This window comes from Homo sapiens, chromosome 14 (genome assembly GCF_000001405.40).
Source record: "Homo sapiens chromosome 14, GRCh38.p14 Primary Assembly".
Classification (NCBI taxonomy): domain Eukaryota; kingdom Metazoa; phylum Chordata; class Mammalia; order Primates; family Hominidae; genus Homo; species Homo sapiens.
The window spans coordinates 32,934,114-32,956,269 of NC_000014.9; the positions used below are offsets into that span (position 1 = coordinate 32,934,114).

At 40.3% G+C, this 22,156-nt stretch overlaps 1 protein-coding gene across 17 annotated transcripts in view; it reads left to right on the forward strand.

Annotated features, from left to right (window-relative positions):
• The window catches only part of NPAS3 (neuronal PAS domain protein 3), an 869,389-nt gene continuing 847,904 nt past the window's right edge, over positions 672-22,156 (forward strand). For 8 of the 17 annotated variants that reach the window (XM_011537067.3, NM_001164749.2, XM_047431680.1 and 5 more), the window contains exon 1: positions 4,766-5,253. In XM_011537067.3, the coding sequence (XP_011535369.1) occupies positions 5,204-5,253 (50 nt within the window). In that variant the 5' untranslated portion in view covers positions 4,766-5,203. Of the gene's footprint in view, positions 891-4,765; positions 5,254-22,156 lie in introns of those variants that run through there. The other 9 variants (XM_017021582.2, XM_017021583.2, XM_047431678.1 and 6 more) reach the window with 3 other exon arrangements.

The window sequence follows — 22,156 nt, forward strand, 5'->3', positions numbered from 1 at the left end:
CTGCCTGATGTGCATAAGACGGGCAGAGAGGGGTTCCGGCCAGGAAGGGAGGCTCTACGTCCCCATTCCTGCACACGCGGGCTGGCTTCCAGGTTGCTGGAAGCCGCGGGAGGCGCGAGCTTGCCTGGATGGTGGTTATTTCTCTAGAGAAAGGAGGAGAGAGAGAGCGCGCCTGAGTCTTGCACTTTGGGTCGGAAGTGCGCGGCGTGTGTGTGTGTGTGTGTGTGTGTGTGTGTAGAGGGGGGCGGGAAAGAAACGCACCCTCCGCTGCCGGTCATTCCCTTGCACCGGCCAAGTCCTCGCCAAGCCTCCCGGTGCATCCTTCCTCCGCCACCCCCTCCCCTTCTTCCCTCAGCTGGGCTCGCGCGGCGCAGCCGGAGCAGCCAGTGAGAGCAACATCCTGGAAAGAGGGGGGAGCACCGCCGCCCCCCAAAAGGGAAAAAAGGCCCCACCCTGACACGTTTTGCTGTTTGCAAGTCCCTCGCACGCCCCCCGCACCTCCTCCTCGCGCTTGCGGCCCCCCCCACCCCCAGCCCGCTGCGCGCACATCAAAGCTCCTCTCCGCCGCGCACAGTGGCCGCGGCTCACTAATGGGATTGCAGGCTGGTGCCTGGCTCCGCTGCTGCCGCCGCCGCTGCTCGCGCTGCTGCTGCTGCCGCCGCCCGAGCCCGAGCCCGAGCCCCCGCCAGCCAGAGCCCAGAGCCGCCGCGCCCGGGGGCCGAAGCCGCGGCGATGATCCGAATCTTTCCGGATTTCAGCGTGCAGGTGACGGCCGCGGCGGCCGGCGGGGCGGCCGCGGGGGTGCCGGCCGGCGCGGGCATGGGGAGGGCCGGCGCCGCGGCCAACGGCACCCCGCAGAACGTCCAGGGCATCACCTCCTACCAGCAGCGGTGAGTAGTCCCGCCTGGGCTGGGATAGTGCCCCCGCCCCGGGGTGCTGGGGTGGGACTCACTTTGCCTCCTGTTTTGTGTCTTACAACACACATGCACATTGCCAGGGCTCACTTTGCCTGCCCCTCGTTCTACAGATGAGGAAGAAAAACACACTTCACTTTGGTGGATTGAAAAGCACTCCAGTGCGCTGGCGAAGTGAAATCATCCTTTGCCCTTTGCCTGGCCCCAAATCCAGAGCTTCAGCCCCGAGTAGCGGAGGAGTTGCAGCGAAGTCTGAGACGCCGCACAAGGTGCTTTTGCAAAGTTTAGGATCCTCATCCCTTTCCAGTGGAATTTTCTCAATGCCTCAGCCGGATGCGGACCCGCGCATACGGACAGCTAGGGGGGCAATTGATCACTGGAGGCTGATTGATCATTTGTTTCCAAACAGAATAGGAACGATTTTCATGTGTAGCTGTAAACTTGCAATTCTACATAATAGTGTTATCATGTCACCTGTTACTACAGGGAAATACAGCATGAAATCCGAGTCTCTTCGGCGCTGTTAAGTATTCATCTTAAACGCATTATAATGCAAATGCATAAGATTCAGGGATACAAGTTAGGAAGCAAATTTTACAAAGTCAGGCTAGGTGGTGAGAAGGAAGTTTTAAAGTATTATTTGTAGTTCTCTTAAACGTATTTATAGATTTTTCTTAAAAATTACGTATTTGACATTGAAATAGTAATTTGATTCAATAAGGAAAGAAAGGGAAAGCAATTTACCACTACCAACAGCTTTAGAACCCTGAAGTTTTTCCTGAAGGACAACTTTTGATGTTCCAAGATTTTACTGAAAATGTAATCCACGAAAATGCGCTGAGAAAAACTAACAATGTACTATGAAAGGTAAACTCCCCATTTGTGGGGCTTGGTTTTATAAAAGATGGAAGAAAAAAGAACACATGAAAGTGTGAAATTAAATATTTGTGTTTCCCAGATTGCACATGATTAAACATCTGAGAGATTTGCCAATGGCATTTAACTTAAAATATACACAATGCATAATTCAAATAACAGTTCCTATTTTTACCTTGTATTTCAAACTTCATTGATTTGAGAACCTTTGATTTGAACCAACAGTATTTAAACTGAAAAGGTTAAGATAATCTATCACTGCCATATTTTGTGCCTTCCAAGCAATGGCCCAGTGACCAGAGCAGATTTTGCATAACACACTGAGTGTTTTCCAAGTTGATGTCCAGTATTCCAAATATTCTGTAGAAGACTTCATTATATGCTCTGTGTACTGTCTGAAGTTTTTTTTTTTTTTTAAAGAGTTTGGAAAATAACTCAAAAAGGGGCTATTCCTTGTCAAAGGGATTTTTGATTTAAATTATTTTAGTCTTGTTTTACTTCAGTGATTACAGGAATCTTTAATACAAAAGATCTGGGACTCTTTCAAACATGAAAGACTAGAAAAGAATTAGATTTTTCCTTTTCATGGTTCAGGTATGTTTTTTTGGTCACTTATACAACATTTAAATGACAATAGTATCTGGCGGTCACTTTAACTAGGAAGTGCAGGCAATGGTCACAATAGTATGGTCTGTGAAGTAGGGAGTCAAGGGTCAGAAATGTCAGATGGCCTTTGGAAGATTTCAGGGACCTCCGGGAACTTGAGCTAACTTATACCATATAAATTGGGCATAAAAGGGTGGGGGATTAGGAATTTTCTGCCATCAGGTTTGCTCTGAGTGTTGTTATCCTTTACCATAAAGATCACCTCAGAGAGAATTTTCCCTCAAGGCAGGAGCACCAGGGGCAGTCCCCTACAGTCTGCCACCTCAGCACTGAGAGCTGCACTGGTGCTTTCCACTTTCAACTTTGAATTTGGGCACCTTATGAAGTCTCTGAATCCCACTGCAGTTCTAAAGACTAAGGCTTTTTTTTTTTTTTTTCTAGCATCTCTAAACTTTAGCCTTTGGGGTGTATTATTCCCTCCTTCGATTTTTATGTTATATTGGCAGAAGAGAAGATGATAGCTGTGAAAAATGTAGCCTTCTTTGATTTTGTTACTAAGACATGATGACACCTGTTACTGTCTTTTAGTCAAAATAGGGGGAGGGGGGCAGAGAGTGAGCCGTGTAGGTCAAGGTCATTGGCAGGTGTTGGAGGTAGGGTCTGAGTCAGGAGTCCCCTGTCCTCTGGCACCTCAACAGGATTGTGGGGTTCTGAAGGACAGACTTAGTTTCCGCTTGGATTTGTTTCCATCTGGATTTGTTTGTTAAGTGAATGGTGACATATCATTTTACCAAAAAATTATTTTTAAGTACTTTTGAGGAGTCCGCCGCGGGAGTGACAGGAGTGGGGGGTTTTTCAAGCAAAGAGTGGCCTCTTGGGAGACTACAAGCTTCTCTCATTTGTCATCTTCGGGCAGAAACCCCCTAGACTGGGTGTCCTGGAGCCAAAACTTTGAACTGGCAACTTTTTCCCTTCTCTGCCAGCCCATGTATATCTTGTCCATAACACTCTCCACTCCAGTTCATTTCTCATTCTCTCCTACCTGTAGAGTGTACTCCAAAGAGAACTTAAACACCATCATGCAGATTAAACACCTCTACCACGAAAAACATTTATGTGTTCCTTTGGAAGTTTCCAACTCCCAGCCCTACTTTACTGGAGTCGTAGAGACCGAATGGAGGACCCCTTTTCAGGTCTTTATTTTTTTCTTAAGCTTAAAGTCAAATGCAGAACCTCACACAGGACTGATGTTTTCCATCAGGCGCTTTCATTCATTCAAAGTGGAAATGCTTTGGGAGTCCTTTCTACTTGCCTGGTTGACACATGACTGACCCAAGTCTCTGCGTAAAAAGCTGTCCACACGCTTCTGATTGGTTTAGTGGAGAAAACGCTCTGACCAGGGTCTACCCAGGTAACAGGATTCTAGCCCGGGCCCTGCACTGAGTAGCCAGCCTTTCTCTAGGCCTTGCTGAACTGTCAAACCGGGGTGCGGCTGGGCTAGATCCCAGAGGGTGGCAGTCCGGTCCCAAGTCCCGGGACCCGAGTCGGGAGGGGCTTCTGTATGTGAGTTTAAACGCGCGGGGATTCACCTGTGAACCCTGGGGTCTGCACTCCTGTACGTCCGTGACTGATGCAGATGCTCCGGCTTTGGGAACGCTGCTGAGAGCGCCAGAGCCACAAGGTGCTTGTGCTGCTGCTGCACCGCCCACGGGGCTCTTGGGCCCATCTGCTTGGGCCAGCGCACCCCCCATCCGTATTGATTTCCGCTGCCCCCAAGGAGCTCCCGGGACTGTGTCCTGCCCCAGCTCGCTCCTGTGGCCTCCCAGTTCCTTTTTCTGTTTCTTTCTTTCCTCCTGGCTGCAATACTCCAGAGAAGGGAAGTGTTTGAAACTGCAACTGAGTGGCGTTGTTGCGCCGGCAGCCGAGCCTCCCAGTCCCCCAACGAGAAAGAGAGAGAGAGAGAGAGAGAGAGAAATTGAGAGAGAGAGAGAGAGAGAGAGAGAGAGAGAGAGAGAAGGGGGGGGAGGTGTGTGTCTGCGTACGAGAGAGCGCTCTGGAGCAAAGCAGCTGGAAAATGCCCAGAAATACTTTCACAGCGGTCAAGCTGGAACCCCCCGCGTGTCCTCCCCCTTCCCGCTCCTCCCGGCCTAGACCCCGCGCCCCCCGCAGGGAGGGTGTGCGCCCCACCTGCCACCGGGCTGCTCCGGGTGGTAGAAAGGGGTGACGGGGGACGGGGGCGGGGGCGGGTGGCGGCGCGGGGGTGAGAACCCGGAGGCGGCGGGGCCCTGGGCCGGGCTGCCCGCGGGACCGCGCGGCCGCCTCCCCCCGCCGCCGCCGCCGCCTCCCCCTCCTCCTCCTCCGCCGCCGCCGCCGGTCGCCTGTCTCCGCGCCGGGCATGCCTCGGGAGCCGGGGCGGCCCGGGCCGCGGGCGCTCTGCGGCGCATGGACGGCGGCGGCGCCGGGCGAGCAGCGGGAGGAGAAGGCGCAGGCGGCGGCGGAAGCGGCGACCCACGGCTGGGAGCACCGGCGGCGCGAGGGGACGGCCGGCCGCCCGCGAGGCTCCGGCCCCACTACTTTTCCGTAGCCTCCCCACCTCAGCAGCACGGCCGCCGCCGCCGCCGCCGCCGCCGCCACGGCCACGGCCACGGCCCCGGCCCCGGCCACCGCCCGCCGGGCAGCCCAGAGCGCCGCGCACGGCCGCACTCTCCCGCCACCCCACGCACACGCACACCCCCGCCCGCCCACGCCCCCCACCCGGGAGGGGGGAGAGAGGCAAAAAGTAAGAGAGGAAAAAAAATAGCAGGAAGATGGCGCCCACCAAGCCCAGCTTTCAGCAGGATCCTTCCAGGCGAGAACGGTAACACTTTTCTGTTTATTGAACCTGCCGCCGGGCCGCTGCTCCCGCCGCCGCCGCCTCCGCCGCCGAGGGCCCCTCTCCGCAGCCCGCCCGCCTCCTGGGCCGCGAGCCCGCGGGGACCTCGTCTGGGCGCAGCGCTCGCCCGGGGCCCCGCGCATTGTCCCCGCGGCGGCTGCGGCAGCGAGAGGCTCTGGCGGCGGCCGGGCTCTCTGAGCAGTCGCACCTCCTCGGCTCGGCGAATAGAGTGACTCACTGACAAAAAAAAAAAAAAAAAGAAGAAAGAAACAGAAAAGAGAAAAAGAAAAAGAAACAAACAGATGCGAAGGCGCTGCCGTGTGACGGGAGCAGCAGCGAGGGTGGGGGGCCGGGGATCCCCGGGGCCGCCGCAGGTCCCCTAGCAGCTGCTCTCGAGGAAGGGAATGAGGCTGGGGAGGGGGAGGGAAGGCGGCGAGCAGGGGGAGGAGGCGAGGAGCAGGAGGAGGAGGCCGGGGGCGGGGAGCGCGGAGCTCGCGCCAGGCCCGGAATGTGTCGCGGAGGGGCCGGCTCCGTCTCCGCGCGAGCAGCTAGGCCGGGCCGAGCCCAGAGGAGCGCGGCCGCCGCCTCCCTGCCTCCCGGGCTGCGCCCTCCGCTCGGCAACTTGTGGGTCTCCCGCTCTGCCCTCCGCTCTCATCTTCCCCTCCTCTCCATACCCCTCCCAAAGGAAAAAGAAAAATAAAGAAGAAAACCCTCAAATCCAAATAAGCAAACAAACAGCGAGATCCAAAATGTGTCAGCAGTTGGAGCATCTATGCCCCGTTAGTTACTGTTTGGGGATCTGTGTTTTAAAAAGTTCCTGGTGAGAATTGCATATCCAAGCAAGGGGCTCAGTCGAGCATGTCTATTTGAAGTTAGTTAAACTAGTACAGCCACAGGGAAAGGGAGTTTGTGTTCAAAATACCCGTAACTGTTCTACGTGAGTAGCATTGATAGATTTTCAGAGTAACTCAGCACCCCCTCCCCATCACCACCAACGTGGTTTTCCCTCCTGCTGTCCACCCAGCCTACTTTCTTTGGAATCCTATTTACTATTAATTGGCAACGTTAATGACATTAATTGCATATAGCATATTGGTTTGAGCAAAGTGGATATCTCTTTCTGTCTCCGAAGAGGAAAGGCGCAGTAGGAAGTATGAAACGTCACCCACTGATTCATGAGGAAAACAAATACAGTAAGATATATGCACCCCCACCCGCAGCAGGCGCGTTGATTTTCCTCACAGGCTTAAGTGAACTTGAAAAGAAGACAAAGGATGTGCTTAGTTGCAAGATTTAATTATTATAACATAGTTTTATTTTTGATGCAACATAATATTTAACCTATAGCTTACATCAGAAGACGATAAGGGGATATTCAGACATCCATTCATTTAAAAGGCTTCTATTGTACTGTTGCTTATTTCTTTCATACGATAGGGAAGGCACAATTGTCAGGATTAAGGAAATACTTTTGTTAAGTAGATACATAATTGACTAATTCTGAACTCTAGATGATTCTGTAAACATCATATATCAGAGAGTAAATCATACATAATCCAGTTTTTAAAGATGTTAAATGTGTATAGCATTAACTATTGCTCCCAAACTGTAGAAAATCTGACAACTCATACAGCTAAAATGAGTATTTACTTCTTAAGAAGTATCAGTGTTTCATGAAGAATTCACACTTTACTCTTGTAGTAGAAAAAATAATTTCTCAGAGCATTGTGCAAGGATTTTAAAAATTATTTTTTATCTAACATGAAGATGAATACTTTTTGAAATCTGAGGTTTATAATTGGTTTTCTTCCCCCTCCCCTCCCCTCCCCTTCCCTCCTCCCTCCCTCCCTTCCCCTCCTCCCTCCTTTCCCCTCCTCCCTCCTTCCCCTCCCCTCCTCCCTCCCTCCCTCCCTCCCTCCCTCCCTCCCTCCTTCCTTCCTTCCTTCCTTCCTTCCTTCCTTCCTTCCTTCTTCCCAGTTCTGTTGTTAATAAATATGTTTACTGGGATGGCCCCAGTAATCTCTCTAGCAAAGGCCTATTCGTGTGCCATTTTAGGAATTTCTCTGAGATAAGAATCTCGGAGATAGAATTAATTTCTAGGGGAAACTTCATAGCCTGTGCATGAGTGCGTTCTTTATCACCTGTCTCCATTTGGCATTCGAAGAAGGTAAATCAAAGTGTGCGATTTGTTATTCTGCTCCACTTGAGAGCTGAACTAAATAACACTTGGTCTGAAATTCTGATTGAAGTTGTAGGAGGATATACTGTATTTAATTTAATGCCCTTTAATAGCATCTTCTTGTTCAGCTTGGATGCTGTCATTTTAAAGGTTGGATCTGAGAAGGTTTAACCTGTATGGAGAAGGAGGAGTAATAACAGCGGGGTGGGGGCAGGAGCACTGTGGAAGATAGGAAGGAAGGAGTTATAAACTAAACCTTTCAAAAGGCAACAACCGCAAACTTGGTCCCTTATCCAAACAGTTGTTTTATGCCCCAAGGGTTCACTTTGTTGTCAGGGTTTTAAATGCTCTTAACACTTTAAGTGTAAACATTACACATGTAAGTTGATTTGGCTTTGTAATGAGAAATGGGAAATCAGATGATTTGTTTAGGAGGGGGCTGTTTTTCATACTTGCTTCAAGTAAGTGAGTAATTCCACCTTTATTTGCACATTGTGCCTAGAACTTGTTGGTTAACAAGTATTTCCTTGTAGCAGTTGAACACAAATATGTTTATAAAAGATGACTTTCTGTGGATATGTTTTAAATGGTATCCTCCTATTTATTTAAAAAAATGTTTTCAAAATCATTGATTTCACAGAGGCATTTATGGACAGTTTATTCTTTACTGCTTTTCAAATATATTAGTAATCTGAAACTTACAGAGAAAAATATATCTTTTGAATTGTCTCATTTATTTATGAAATGTCTAACCTGTGTATAGTAATACAGTACCAAAGTCATTTCCTTATAGTAATGTTTATAATGTAAATTTCAGAAAAATAAGCTCGTTCTTGATAATGTCTTTGGTTACTATTTAGTGCTCCTTACATTTCTCTGAATTACATATACAGAAAGTGTCTCTTTAGAGCCTGAAAGAACAAGTTGAAAACCTTGTGTACATAAACTTGTTTGATTTTCTTTAAACGCCAATAGACTGCAAATTATATAGCACTACCACAAAGTTTTTCTACTATGTGGATGTATAACCAAAAAAATTAGACAGAGAGAAGTGTCAAGCATGTGATATGCCCATGCTGATTTGCAAAGCGTATCCCAGTAGCACAAGGCTTTTGGTTTAAAAAGTAAAGGTGGTGGAGACTGGTTTTTGGAGGTATTTCTATCTACAGTATAAGCTTAAATAGGGGTGATAAATGATTATATGCATTGTCTAACACTTGCTTATATATATAAATAGCTCCACAAGATTGCTTAAATGATAATCGAAAATATGAAATAGGATGGCCTTCATATCACAAGGCCAAGGGTCTACAAATGGAAAAACTGAAATAATGAAATATTTCCAAGGCAACAGACTGTCAACAAGAACTGTAATGCATGGGCATATCATGATCCACCAGAGAGGATATTAGATCGTATAGCTCCAGAGCCAGGAGTTATAATGACCTTTATTATGTAAGACCCTCCCTCATTACAACATCTTTTCAGATTTCCAATTTCTGATTTATGAATTGAAAGACATATAACTACTCCACATGTGCAATATGCCAATCACTAGATTTGATTCCTTACAGTGAGCAAATGAGCAAACTTGAATTCAACATTATTCGATACTTTTTTTTTTTTAAAGTTACATGAGGTGTTTTCACCTAGTAGTGTTATTAGTAAGGTTTTGGTTTCTGTGTCTTTATATAGTCTTAAAAATATGGCTAAAAGTGATGTGTAATTAATATCTCAGCAATCAATTGGTAAGACTTATACTGTACTTCAAATATAATCCAGAAATTGGAGCAGTTTGATAATTTTAGTCATATGAATTTTGATCTTCCCCTGTAATTCTTCTACCCAATGGCTGGCCCTATACTATAATATAGCTATTTTATGAGAAGGCCAGAATACTTATGAACCACCTTACTCCTCTTCCCTGCCCCAGATCCTGGTCTGGGATTCAGTGCTATGTTACAATTGTGTCTGTTTGAAGTAGGACCTGCTGCTAGGATCCCCTGCTCTGTGGTGAGGTTTTCTATGGCTTCTGTAAAGCAACACTTTTGGGGAAGCATTATTTATTTTCTTAAGCAGTAGGTCTTCATATTTGGGGATTTCTTTTTTGTTTCTTTATTTCTTTTCTTTTTCTTTTTTTTTTTTTTTTTAGACAGAGTCTTGCTCTGTTGCCCAGGCATGCTGGAGTGCAGTGGCACAATCTCAGCTCACTGCAACCTCTGCCTTCAAATGATTCTCCTGTCTCAGCCTTCCAAATAGCTGGGACTACAGGCACATGCCAATACGCCCAGCTAATTTTTGTATTTTTAGTAGAGATAGGGGTTTCACCATGTTGGCCAGGCTGGTCTCAAACTCCTGACCTCAGGTGATCTGCCTGCCTCAGCCTCCCAAAGTGCTGGGATTACAGGCGTGAGCCACTGTGCCTGGCCTTTATTTGGGGATATTTATGGAGAATATATTACAAAAGTTTCAAAATCCTTTTAATGCTTTCCTCTACTAACTTCCTTAAGTGCTTTACTATTAATAATGACCCTAATGTAACCTTAATCTGTTTTTGTTTTTCTACAATTCTAGTAAACCTATGTCTTATGCAAAATGTCACTAAATTTAAAGAAAATTAACACTCATGAAAGCAGAGGTAGCTCCTGCCACCTCCATGCTATGTTTACACAGTCACTTTTTCTGCGTATAACATTTAATCATTCTAATTGATTTTTTAAAGTTCTGCATTGTATTTGGGCTACAGTCTAACTTCAGGTGTTTTATAGACGTGTCTTTAATTGCTTAGGATGAATAAGGCTGAAACTTAGTAAATAAGTTAGTATGTTAAATTTTACTTGATTAAATATTATTCTTTAAATTTTAAATGCTATCAAAATTGCACATAATGGAATATGTGAAACTTTAAATATATCTATGATTAGTAAGAACTAGAATTTATCAGAAAATCCAATTGTTTGCATTCGGTGATGTTAGTATTTTCCCAGTAAATAGTGGCCTTTTTTCCCCCCTCATTGGTCAGTGTAATAAACCAACTGTAACTGAATGGTATTTTTACTGCGCTGAGCCTCATTAGTGTGAATAGGATGTTTGCACTATTAAGTTTGATAGAATAGTTAGAAGAATGTGTAGTAATATTAGTAATACTACAATGCATAAACAGGACATGGCTTAGTAAGAATAAAGTAACTGCTACTGTATCTGAAATGACTAGGGCAGTGACAACATTAAACAATAGTTGAAGTTTTCTGTATACATTTGTAAAACATCACGTCTTGGTGAATTAATTGAAATACTGTGGTCTTGTATGTGAAATCAGGGGAAGCAAGATGAAGATCTTATGTTACTATGGCCCACAGTTCTCCTGGCCCTAGACTGTAATGATTGACTGGTTCTTTCATTCAGCTTCATTTATTGAACCTCTACCATGGACCGTGGTTATGCGTGCCAGGTACAGTACTAAATATATACCTTGTAAGAGCAGTTGCTTTGGTTGTAGGCTTGCCCTTCTATTGGTTATACAAAATATTATAGAGAGCCAGAAGATACCCTTTTCTAAAAGAGTAAGAAGTAATGAATTCATAGAAATATAAGGCTTTCTTTTTTCACTTCTGTTAGCTTAGTGTTCTGTGAGGATAGTTATTCAACTTGTAAAATATTGTAATTAGTGACTACAAAGTGATTAGAGGCTCCTGGAGGACAGAGAGAGAAAAGATACTGTATAAATTGAAGTGAAATTGTAGTAAATTTTATAAAAGTTATTTTGATGGGATTTAAAAATAAAAATAGGTTATATACGATGATGATTATATAATAATATAAACATTGGACACTGCCATGTTTCAGACACTATATTACATGCTTCACAATAATTTTCTCTTTAGTTTCCCCACTGACCTATGAGGGAAGTGCTAATATCCCCATTTATGCATGAGAAAATAGAGGTTTAGCATTCCCAAGGAAGGTGATAGAGACTGAATTCAGGTTTGTCTCTCAGGTGAACTTAGGCAGTACAGTCTTTGTAGAAATGTACCTTAACACCAGTGTGGAAGGGCCTGCGTTTTCAGACTTTCCAAACTCAGAGATTTCCGAGCCAATATCAGAGAGTTCCAATGGCAGAAAGACCAGTTCACTATGGGTAGTGAACGATAGCCCTCTGTTTTGGTCCTTCATCAGATGTTTGGAGAAATACAGTGTTTATGAAATTAGAGAAAGAATCAATATTGAAAGCATCGTTACCTCACCCTTTACTATCCCAGTAGTTTTGTGGGCAAGCTCCATAACTATACATACTTCAGGGCAGATTTGTAGCTGAGTGGTGCCAGAAGAATCAGTTTGCCACGTACATCTGCCTCTTTGGTCACAGCATATGAAGTTCTCAAGGCCCTCTTCTGCTCATATAATTCATGGCTCAGAGTGTGCCACAAGTTTCTCTAAAGATTATAGTTGAAGCATTTTTATTTTGTGATAGTTTTGCCACTGGTTGTGTAAAAACTGTCTCATAAGGCTTTCTGAATAACTCATTTTAGTACCTAACTGTATTTCTGGACATTGTCTTTTGAAATTTGTAAGGATTTGTACAAGTTGGCCTCCTGCCAAATTATCTGGCATTATAATAATGGCAGCAAGCATTTATATAGCATCGTGTGCTAATAAACAGGTACTCTTCTGAGAGCTTTACATGCATTCACTCATTTAATTAAAAACATGACATGTTAAAATGGGCCACAATAAATACATAAATGGTAAGTTATTTACTCCCCCATCCCCCCAACACACACACACGCGCACACACACACACACACACACACACACACACACACACAGAGTCATCTTCAAGAAGGGAAAGTTAGCCTTTGGTAACTTTTTTTCCTCTATGCCAGGAACCCTAGGGTTGGTCTGATACATAACAGTTCTTTAACAAAAGCTGTACTTTAGGAAACTTTGTAGCGTGTGATGTGGGTGTTCATTGCAGAATATATGCAAGATCTCAGTAGCAGACAAACATGCCACATTTATCTTTACGTTTTTGGATGTAATATTGTCAACTAAATAGCTTCTTTAAAAATAATAGGTATAATAGAAATTTCGGGCTTAAAAGGACTAGATAAGAAGTGCTTGAGTATTTGTGATTGCAAGATAATTCGCTTGTGTATTGGATTCATTTTTTACATTCAGCAAATATCTTGTTTATGAAAGGATAAGTTGCCTTTTAAGTTGCAAAGGACTTAAAATTTAAAGGGATATTTTACTGAAATATTGAAGATAAAAAACAAAAGTCAATAGGAAGTATAAGTGAAAAATAGACTACAAAATTTTTAACCACCATCAGATCATCTTAAAAGAGATTACATCTGATTACATTATTATATTATCATCAGTATGCTAATGCAGAATTAAAGGGCTGTGAGTTGGGTACCTAGTGTAAAACATTAAACTTACAAATCTTAATTGCATATTTTGGAAAGTAGTGTCCCACAGCATTTTAAGACCACTTTATAAACTTATAGGTCATTTCAATAATATTTCATTATATCTGATGAACTAGGGCATTTTCATTTGTAAGATTTATAAAAATAATTTTCTTATAAAGAAAAATTAATATTGGATTAAGGGTCAATATAAGTGTGAATATAGCTATAATTAACACTCTCTTCCCCAAATCTCTGATTTTTCCTTTCTGCTACAGTAACACTGCGGAAAAGGATGCTAGCTCTAAACTTCATTCAGAAGCACTTTAGCTCAGAAAGATGGCAGTATTTCAATGGTGGCAAGTGGAATGATTGAAATTGTTTGCAGAACTTCTCTCTCTGGTCCTAGAAAATGGAGACATGAATGAATATGGATATTTTATTAACTAGTATGTATTGTGCTGATGGAAGGGGCATTTTCCCTTTACAAATATAATTTATTCATCAGAATCCACTTCTAAAAACATATATATTCTATTCAGGTATATGAATTTTTTTAATTATACAAGATTTTTGTATATAGTGTACACAGCATATATATGTCACATGATACACACATATATATACACTGTTTACAACATAAATTATATATAAAATATGTATGAGATATACCATGTTTGTGTATGTCTATCTAAAATGGAAAAAAGTTACAAAGATATCTTGAACATTATAAATGTCTTACTTTAGATTGAGTTAAATTTAAATGTATGCAGTGGATTGGTGACTTTTTGTTTTCCTAATGCTGTAAGGCAAAGTAGGCTCATCATTTTTTTTTGCACATTTTTATTGTTCTGTGTAAATGTAATTTGTTAATCCTGTGAAATTTGTCATAGATAAATTTGCTTGGATTATCTTGTCACCACCGTATCTGCATTCTTTTGTTCATTGCTTATTCATAATTTAACAGTCTGGCAGTGAGCCTTTTTGGGATGCTCACAAGAGATATATGACCTCTTCCAGCTGCTACTATAACCTGCAGAATGCACAGCAAGACATTAGAAACGTGAGGATTCCTCTACTGATTAAAGTGCTCTTCATTTAAACAGTCTGTTCATAAGAATCTCAGGAATCTCTTGCTACCAGCAGTTTTTAGTTTTTTCTTCCTAACAAAATTAGTTTTAACAATTGAATCTTCATTTGCTATGAATTTTTCAGATTATCCAAAGGAAGTTAATTTCTTGAATGCTGTTTCTTCTTTATACATAAATACTTAAAAAATTTATATTTTGGGGATGTCAAAGTTGTCCAAAAATGGTTTTATTGGGCAGTGAAGAATGTAGAGTAGATATATTGCATCCTAATCTTAGAAGAAATGGTTGGTTTAATCCTGTTTGAATCTAAGAACTTTACAGTTTATATTCAAAACACTCCATATTATGTAGTATGTAGCAGACATTAAAAATAAAATGTTACTTGAAGTATAACCCCATCTTTAGGTTTTCATTATTCTGAATTAGTTTAGCATATGAATTTATTCTTTTCTCTCTCTTTGCTTCTCTCTTTCTGTCTCTGGAAATCAGCAGCCATCAGTTTACGAGCAATGGTTAGTTTTTGCCTCTCTCCTGTGCAGGCATATGATTATGGTTCAAAATAATTCATCGCTAATCCATGCAGTATTGGTTCATCTCCATCACTCTGTTCTGTGATTAGAGCCTCAGGCCTGCTGCCTTGCTTTCTGCCCTGATTTTCTTTAACTGCAACCTTTGTTTTAATATAGTTCTGTAGTCACCACTCTCCTACCAGCCCCTCTCCATTCCTCATATATATCGATTGCGGTAGATTAATATTTATTTGAAGCCATTTTTCCAGACTTTGAGAAAAATGTATTCATTTCTTACTGTGACCCTTCATCTAAAGGGAGCGGGGAGAGGGAAAATGTAGGGCTCAGGTATGCAACTCTTAGACAATAAAATTATTGTGTTTCCCGTTTTAATTCTTCGCTATGGTCAGCGTATTTTACTTTTTACAGAAATCAGGAACTTTAGTTTCTTTGAAAAAATTTTATACAGGGTAAGGCACAATGTTAACAGTTTAACTCTGTGTGTTTGTAACAGTTCTAGAATGGCTTTCTGTATTTTCTAAGTACATGCTACAGCCAATGCAATCACCATAATATACATTGATCAGCTTGCATTGAATATTTCCAGACAGGGACACTAAGCTATCATTTTCCTTAGCATCAAAATTTGCCACTTTTACCAGAAGGTCATCTAACAGATTTTTAAAAGACTTTGTTTCAGATCTCGGTAGTCCTGTGTTCCTTTTAATAATTACTTTAGTCTCATTGTAGCTGTGTGTTTGAAAGTGTAGGTCAATGAGGATGATTGCATTCAGAATTTCATGATCTGTGTAGTGGAACAAATTGAAAGCAAAGCCTGTATCAATCACTGTGAAGGGAGGGTTAATTGTTACCGCTTCTCAAGCCTCTGGACAGATAAACCAGTAATGAAATACTTATTGCTCTGATATGTGAATGCTAAAGGATGAAACAATGGAAACAGAAGCCGTCTTCAGAGATAACCAAATAAGCAAAGAGAAAAGAATGAACTAGATGAAAGTATGGAACTGTGTACTGCATTAACTCTCTTAAAGTAATATTATTTTTAGTCTCCTACCCATCTTTTACTGGCAGGTTAGGGCAGTATCATATATCAGGTTGATAAAGCCAAATAAGAATATAAATGGAAACCATTTTTTTCTGTTAAAAAGAAAAAAGAAAAAAGGAAAAAGTCCAGCCCTATGCTTTATATGAACTCTGTATATTTTATAAAAATAATTATTTCATATTACTAATTATATCACTGTTTAAGGTATTCTTTTTAAAAAAATTAGTTATGCTACATGTATTAAATTTTTATATGCATAGATGTCTTACATTCTAGAATGTTTTAAAGGATTGTTTTCTTTGAAGAGATTTTGGAATTTTTGGTTTATTATACACCAAAGTATAGAGGAAATAGTGTAATACATAAAGAAATAGTAAAATAAGAATTAGTGTGGCAAAGAAATCATGAGATTAAATACATTTAACTATTTCTTCCATATGAACTTAACATTTAAACATCCGTTAGTTACTTATATGTTGAAATATATGCAAAAATATTTAGCCAAATTGAAGTCTTAGGTCCATGACAATCATCTCAACACAGTGGGTAGTTCTGAAAATTAATGAGAATGATAATACTGTAAAGACTGTTCCAGAGTTTGCCCAAATTCATTATCTAAGACTCTTGTTAAGAACATCTCAAAGAATTTTAACCAGGAAAATATATTAATGGTTCAAAAGCATTTTCAAAGCCCTGAATTACAAAAGTATAATGGAATTATATATGCAAGAGTTATAGTTAGCAGCACAGATAACAGAAGCATTATAAAGGCATATTTTTCCATAACCTATACTGCTCTTGCATGTGGTTTCATCCATAGGGTTTAATTTCATACATGCATATATTATTGCTGTTAGGATGAGAAAGATCAGGATCATTTAAAAAATAAAACATAGGGAAGCTTATAACTATAAAAAGTTAGGTATATCTACATTTCAGCATCCATTTCAGATGTGATACAACTACTAGCAAGGTACAACAATCTTAACAAAAAGAAATAATCTTCCCACATCTTTGTATTTACCTCAGAATGTTAAGAATTTCCTGAGGCCTTAATCTGTGCCGTATTGATGTGGCTGCATAGCAACTGAAACAAATGATTGAGACATAGCCCTTTTTACGATAGTGACACCATCCTCTAGCTAATGTGGTTTTGTGTATTTTAAAAGATAGCTGTAATAGTATTGCCATAACATTGCTGAATCAGGATTTTTAAACTGCCAGTGAAATACACTAGGACAGAAGTTAGTAGAGAGCTCTCAAAGTCAAGATGCACCAAAAGGTGTCAATCTTTGTGTACAACAATGGGCAGGCAAAAAGCAAGAGTTCCATTACTCAGTAATAAATGTGTACTTAAGACAGAAGCCCGTGGATATCGAGATTGTCAGGGCAATACATTATGAATTACCACTGGTTACTTGCTGCTTGGGAACTAGTGCAGCAGCATGGAATGGCATAAATCCTGGTCACCAGTGTCAGTCTTCCATTATCTTTGTAGGAAGTTGTATTCTACCTAGGTTCTTTAACCTTTCAGAGCCTCAGTTTCTTTATTTTCATACTGAGTTGCTAATACCTACTTCCAGCTGCAAAAATCTATGATTATGTGATTTGAATTATGTGGATATATAATATAAAATAATGAGATGAGGTATTATAAATGGCAGATTGTTTTTCCAATGGCATTAACATTTACAAATATTCCATATTTATAAAATGATTAAATAAATTTTTTATGTCAAATATGGTGCTTGTTATATAGATTTCAGTCCATAAAATATAGGATGTTAAATATTTTTCTTCATGAAAACATCTTTGAAAGGAAACATCTTATTTCAAGAGTGTCCAGAGGACTTTGCAATGGAAGCAATAGGATGCCTTAAGTTAAATTTTAAAGTGACATATGATGCTAAGACTCAATGTAACACTAAAGAAAAATACTAAAATGTTTGGAGATAAGTACATTTGTTTCTTAAATTCAATTGAGACAGTAGAAGAACTCTGGAAATATTGGAAAACTAGATGATATACAATGAAGAAGGAAGTTAACAATGTAATATTTGATGGATAGGCAACTGCTTAAGGGAATAACTAATCTCTGAAGATTTTGTGTGTTCCTAAAACATTTATAGAGGAATAAATTTCTGTAGTGAGATAGTTACCCAAACTACAACAGTTATTTATTTCTTTTTAACCTTGTTTTTAAAAAGCACTTTCTCCTAATTCTTCTCCTTTACTTGTAAAGGTGAACTGATTTGGGGTTTGTAGTGCAGACAGATTTGAAGATTTACGAGTGGATAAGATTTCTTACATCTAGTAAATTAATGACTTTTAAAATAGAGGTATCACTTATTTATGGTTTCTGGAAAATTCCCAATTAATGATACTTAATAGGTATTGCATGTATATTTTTGTAAGATGATTAACTTTTTTGCTTAATTTCTATATGTGTGTGTAGATTATACATATATTCTATGTATCATATGTAGATTAAGAGTATTTCATCCCTATAACTATGTAGTTATAGCTCTTGTCAGTAATAATTGAATATACCGCTGATAAAATATTGTTCCCCAAAGAAATACTCAGTTCTACAAAAGGTAATTTTCTATTTTTCCATTATGAAGACACTTAGGAAAATGTTTTAAAATGTTATAATGTGTACTAGACTTCCGTAACTCCTTTTTCCCCCTCATCACTCATCAAAACTCTGTTTTCCTGAAGCTAATTTTGGCTAGGTACTAGAAGATGATCTGATTAGAATAATTCAGAGTTAGGGGTGAACTTTATTTGAATTTTTAAAATGAGCCTATCAAAACAAACATGTTTTCAATTAATAGAACATGAAAAACCTTTAGTGTGCCCTTGCTTGTCTCCCATACCACGCATATAGATACATTAGTCAACACTTTGAAGTACCTCCCCTGGAAACAATGTCTCATAGTGACATTGTTTTAGAAAAAAAAAATTTAATTTTATCACAACATTGAGTATAAAAATGGGTAAATGTCATGAATTGGGTTAAATACCTGTGTTGTACATATTTTCATTGCTAACCATATTTTTCTGTCTAGTTAAAAGTCACTAACTGTGGTAAAAATCTACCACCAATGAAGAAATTTAGAATTGAGTGATACGTAGTGTCAACCAAAATTGGAAATACCTGTGGCTCATGCTTGTAATCCCAGCACTGTAATCACAGCCTAGGCAGGAGAATGACTTGAGCCCAGGATTTTGAGACCAGCCTGGGCAACATGGTGAGACCATGTTTCTACAAAAAAATAACATTAGCCAGGCTTAATGGTGCACACCTGTAATCCCAGCTACTTGGGAGGCTGAGGGAGGAGGATTGCTTGAGCCCAGGAGTTTGAGGCTGAAGTGAGTTATGTTCATACCATTGCACTCCAGCCTGGGCAACAGAGTGAGACCCTGTCTCAAAACAAATCATCAAACAAAAAGCAAACAACAACAAAAAACCCCAAACAACAACCAAAAAAAAAGAAAAAAAAAAAAACAGAGTTGGAAATATCTACTCAGTGTTGAAATAGAATTTAAATTTGGGATTTATAGATGGCTATAGTATTTTTTTGTAGAAAGGCCTCCACAGCAAGTATTTAGACTTGGGTTGAACCAAACCACGTTAGACTTCACAAGATCTGGACCCTTTCCCCCTCCTGCAACTGTTTTCATTTACTAAGTGTTGTTTCAAGGATAAACACCAAGCTGTATCCTGCTGCTATTCACTTGTAAGCAGCATCTATTTCATACGAGGTCACAAAGACTTTCAGTAGGCCCTGACTGAGTGAGGCGTCTTCTGTCCTGTGGTCCATCAGTGTTGTAGCAGTCAGTGAATGGGCTTCAGGAAATCCAATAATCTACTGAAACAGCATCTTCATACCATTTTATCAGTTATTCGAGGGGGTCTGTTTTCCCTAAAGATCTATGTCAAGAATTGTGAAGGATCTTAGATTTTACTCTGCTTGCAAGCCATGGCCTGCCACACTTTAATGAATGCCGGGTCGGAGATGAAGGACAGTTTATTACTCACAGCATTAACAGTAGTCAGAATATTAGTGTGTAAGGTAATTATCTGAGCCCCAGTTCCCACAGGGTGATAAAAAGAGGGTCAAATGATACCTGCACACACAGTAGTGCAGTAGGTTGTGTTACAAGAGGACCCTTGAGTTTAGGGAACTTGAATCTTTTAAAACAGGCAGTAAACATGTCTTCCTTTTACTCTGGAGGAAGACACTGTGTCTTCCAAGACTGTTCTCTGTACAGCCTTAATTAGGCCTTAACAAAGGACAGTTAATAGTACTTTGTCTGCAAGATGTGCAGAAATGTGAGAGACATAGAGACTTGTCTCTCAACAATCTGAAGCACTAAAATGGGGATTATTATAGAAGGATGAGAGGACCTAGTGGTGGCATAGTCCTGTAGTTGAGAGCTGCCTTGAGCTTAATGCAACACAAAGTCAACAATTTGGAGAGAAAATGATGAAGGTTCCAAATATGTAATCTTCCCCAAATTTCTTAAGCATTAATCATGTGATGGAGTACACCAGGTTTGTTTCGGTTTAGCTGATTCAGTAGTGGATGGGTCCTAATGATGTTAATGTATTCCTGTTCTCATGTCTTCTATTTATCACTGTTGGTGTTTGTCCTCTTTTGTAAGCATGCTCGCTTCCTGGTTTGTTCTATTTACCCATAAACTTTAACTTGTTTAAAGTTCACTTTTTCATCTTTACATTAGATCGCTTAAATTTCTCCATAACCCAATAAGATAGGTTCTGTAATATTTCTCTTTTATAGATGAGGTCATAGCTAGTAAAGTTTTGAAATTGGATTTAAGCCTCAGTCTGGACTGATGGGATGACATTCTTTTACCATGTTAGCTACCTTCTGACTCTTGTAAAGTTGTTTTCTAGTTCATTCTTTCTTCTGGGGCCCCTCCATTTCCCCACATAACTATTCTGCATCATACTGTTTTTCTCTTCCCTATACCCTTCTCCTAATCCCAGTATGAGTCTAGCTGACCCTATAGCTCTCCTCTTCTATCTTGCCTTTTAATACCTCCCATAGACATTGTCGGTATTAAGCATTTTTGCACTCTCAAATTGTACTAAATCATCACCTTACTTATCTTCTGATTCCATAGTAACTGTCCTGTAAAGCTAATGATTGCAATTATAACATAAATAGGTTGACCAAAAGTTTGATCATGCCTAGCATAATGGTGAGGTGTTACATTAAAAGATGGTTATGAGGAGATTACAATCTTGCTTAGCAAGTTGTAAACTGTAGTTCTATTTCCTGCATAATTTATACCATCTTTTCGATTGTGAATAGACATGCATTTTGTAAATTATGGTGGCATGGGCATTCTTATGGTCATAATATATTCCTACCTTTTGCATGGAGTCACACTTTTGTATGTACCATAAGTTGTTATTGTAGCTCACTTAAAAGGCTTGGTCAAAAGAACCTGTGGCTTCTGGTCAACTCAGATTCAATTTTAAAATTAAGCATTCACCTGCAATCAATGTCCAATGATTTGGCATTTTGCTTTTTCCCTTTCTAGTCTTCTAGCTCAAGGTCTATCTCAATAGGATATAACAATATATATAATTTAATGCAAATTAATTATCGAAGTGTACTCTAGTAAGTAGTGAGATCACACAGACCAAAATATACTTTGTTGGATACATTGCAGTCTTTCTCTGCAATGGGACTACTTATGTAACTTACATAAACGTCAGTCCAATATGTTTGGAGATCATGCTAAGACATCAAGCTCTAAGATGCTCATGAAGAGGAGACAAGATAACATGGAAATTATCTGTCTTTTGAGAAGCTGATCATAGTTCACTATCAGAATCTATTGCGAAAACTCAAGATATCCATAACCAATATTGAGGACCATTAACCAAAATGATGGATGATGAAGAAATAAAATATAGTCTTCTTCTGTACCTGTCTTTTTACATAAATTGTGACCTTTCTAGAAGGGAACAAATTGGTCTCCATTTTGCACCCCCAGTGCTGAAACACCTTCTTGGAACAGAGTTAGAAAATGAAGGAATAAATGAATTCCAGTTCTAATTCTGCCTATTGATATTTACATTTCATCCCAGGAATTTCCCATTTCTGTCAAAAATCTACAAGCACGCATAACATACCCCATGATCTCAGATGTAAAAAAGAAATTAATAGAGAAATATAAGCATTTTTCAATATGTATTTTTAACTAATGCTTAGTAATTCCTAGTGTATTTTGGGTTTCAAAATTGAATTGTTTATATCCTATGTTGTGGGGTCCCTGAAGATTATACCCCTGTAACTCTACAGATAATAGTTTTAGATTCAAGATGTGTCACAGCTCTCTATTAAGCAAGGAGTAAAGAAAATCAGTTACAACCAAATATACCATTGATGGTTTTTTTTTAACTTTCAAATGATACCACCAAATAGATGAATTCTGGAACAATGAATGATTTCAAATTAGAATCATATTAAAACCATTTTATAGTCAATTATAATTCCATAAAATTTGAATTGCATTAATTCTGTATTTCACAAAATTGTACCAATAATAATTTAAGTTGATTAGGCCAAAATTGAAAAATTCGATCATGT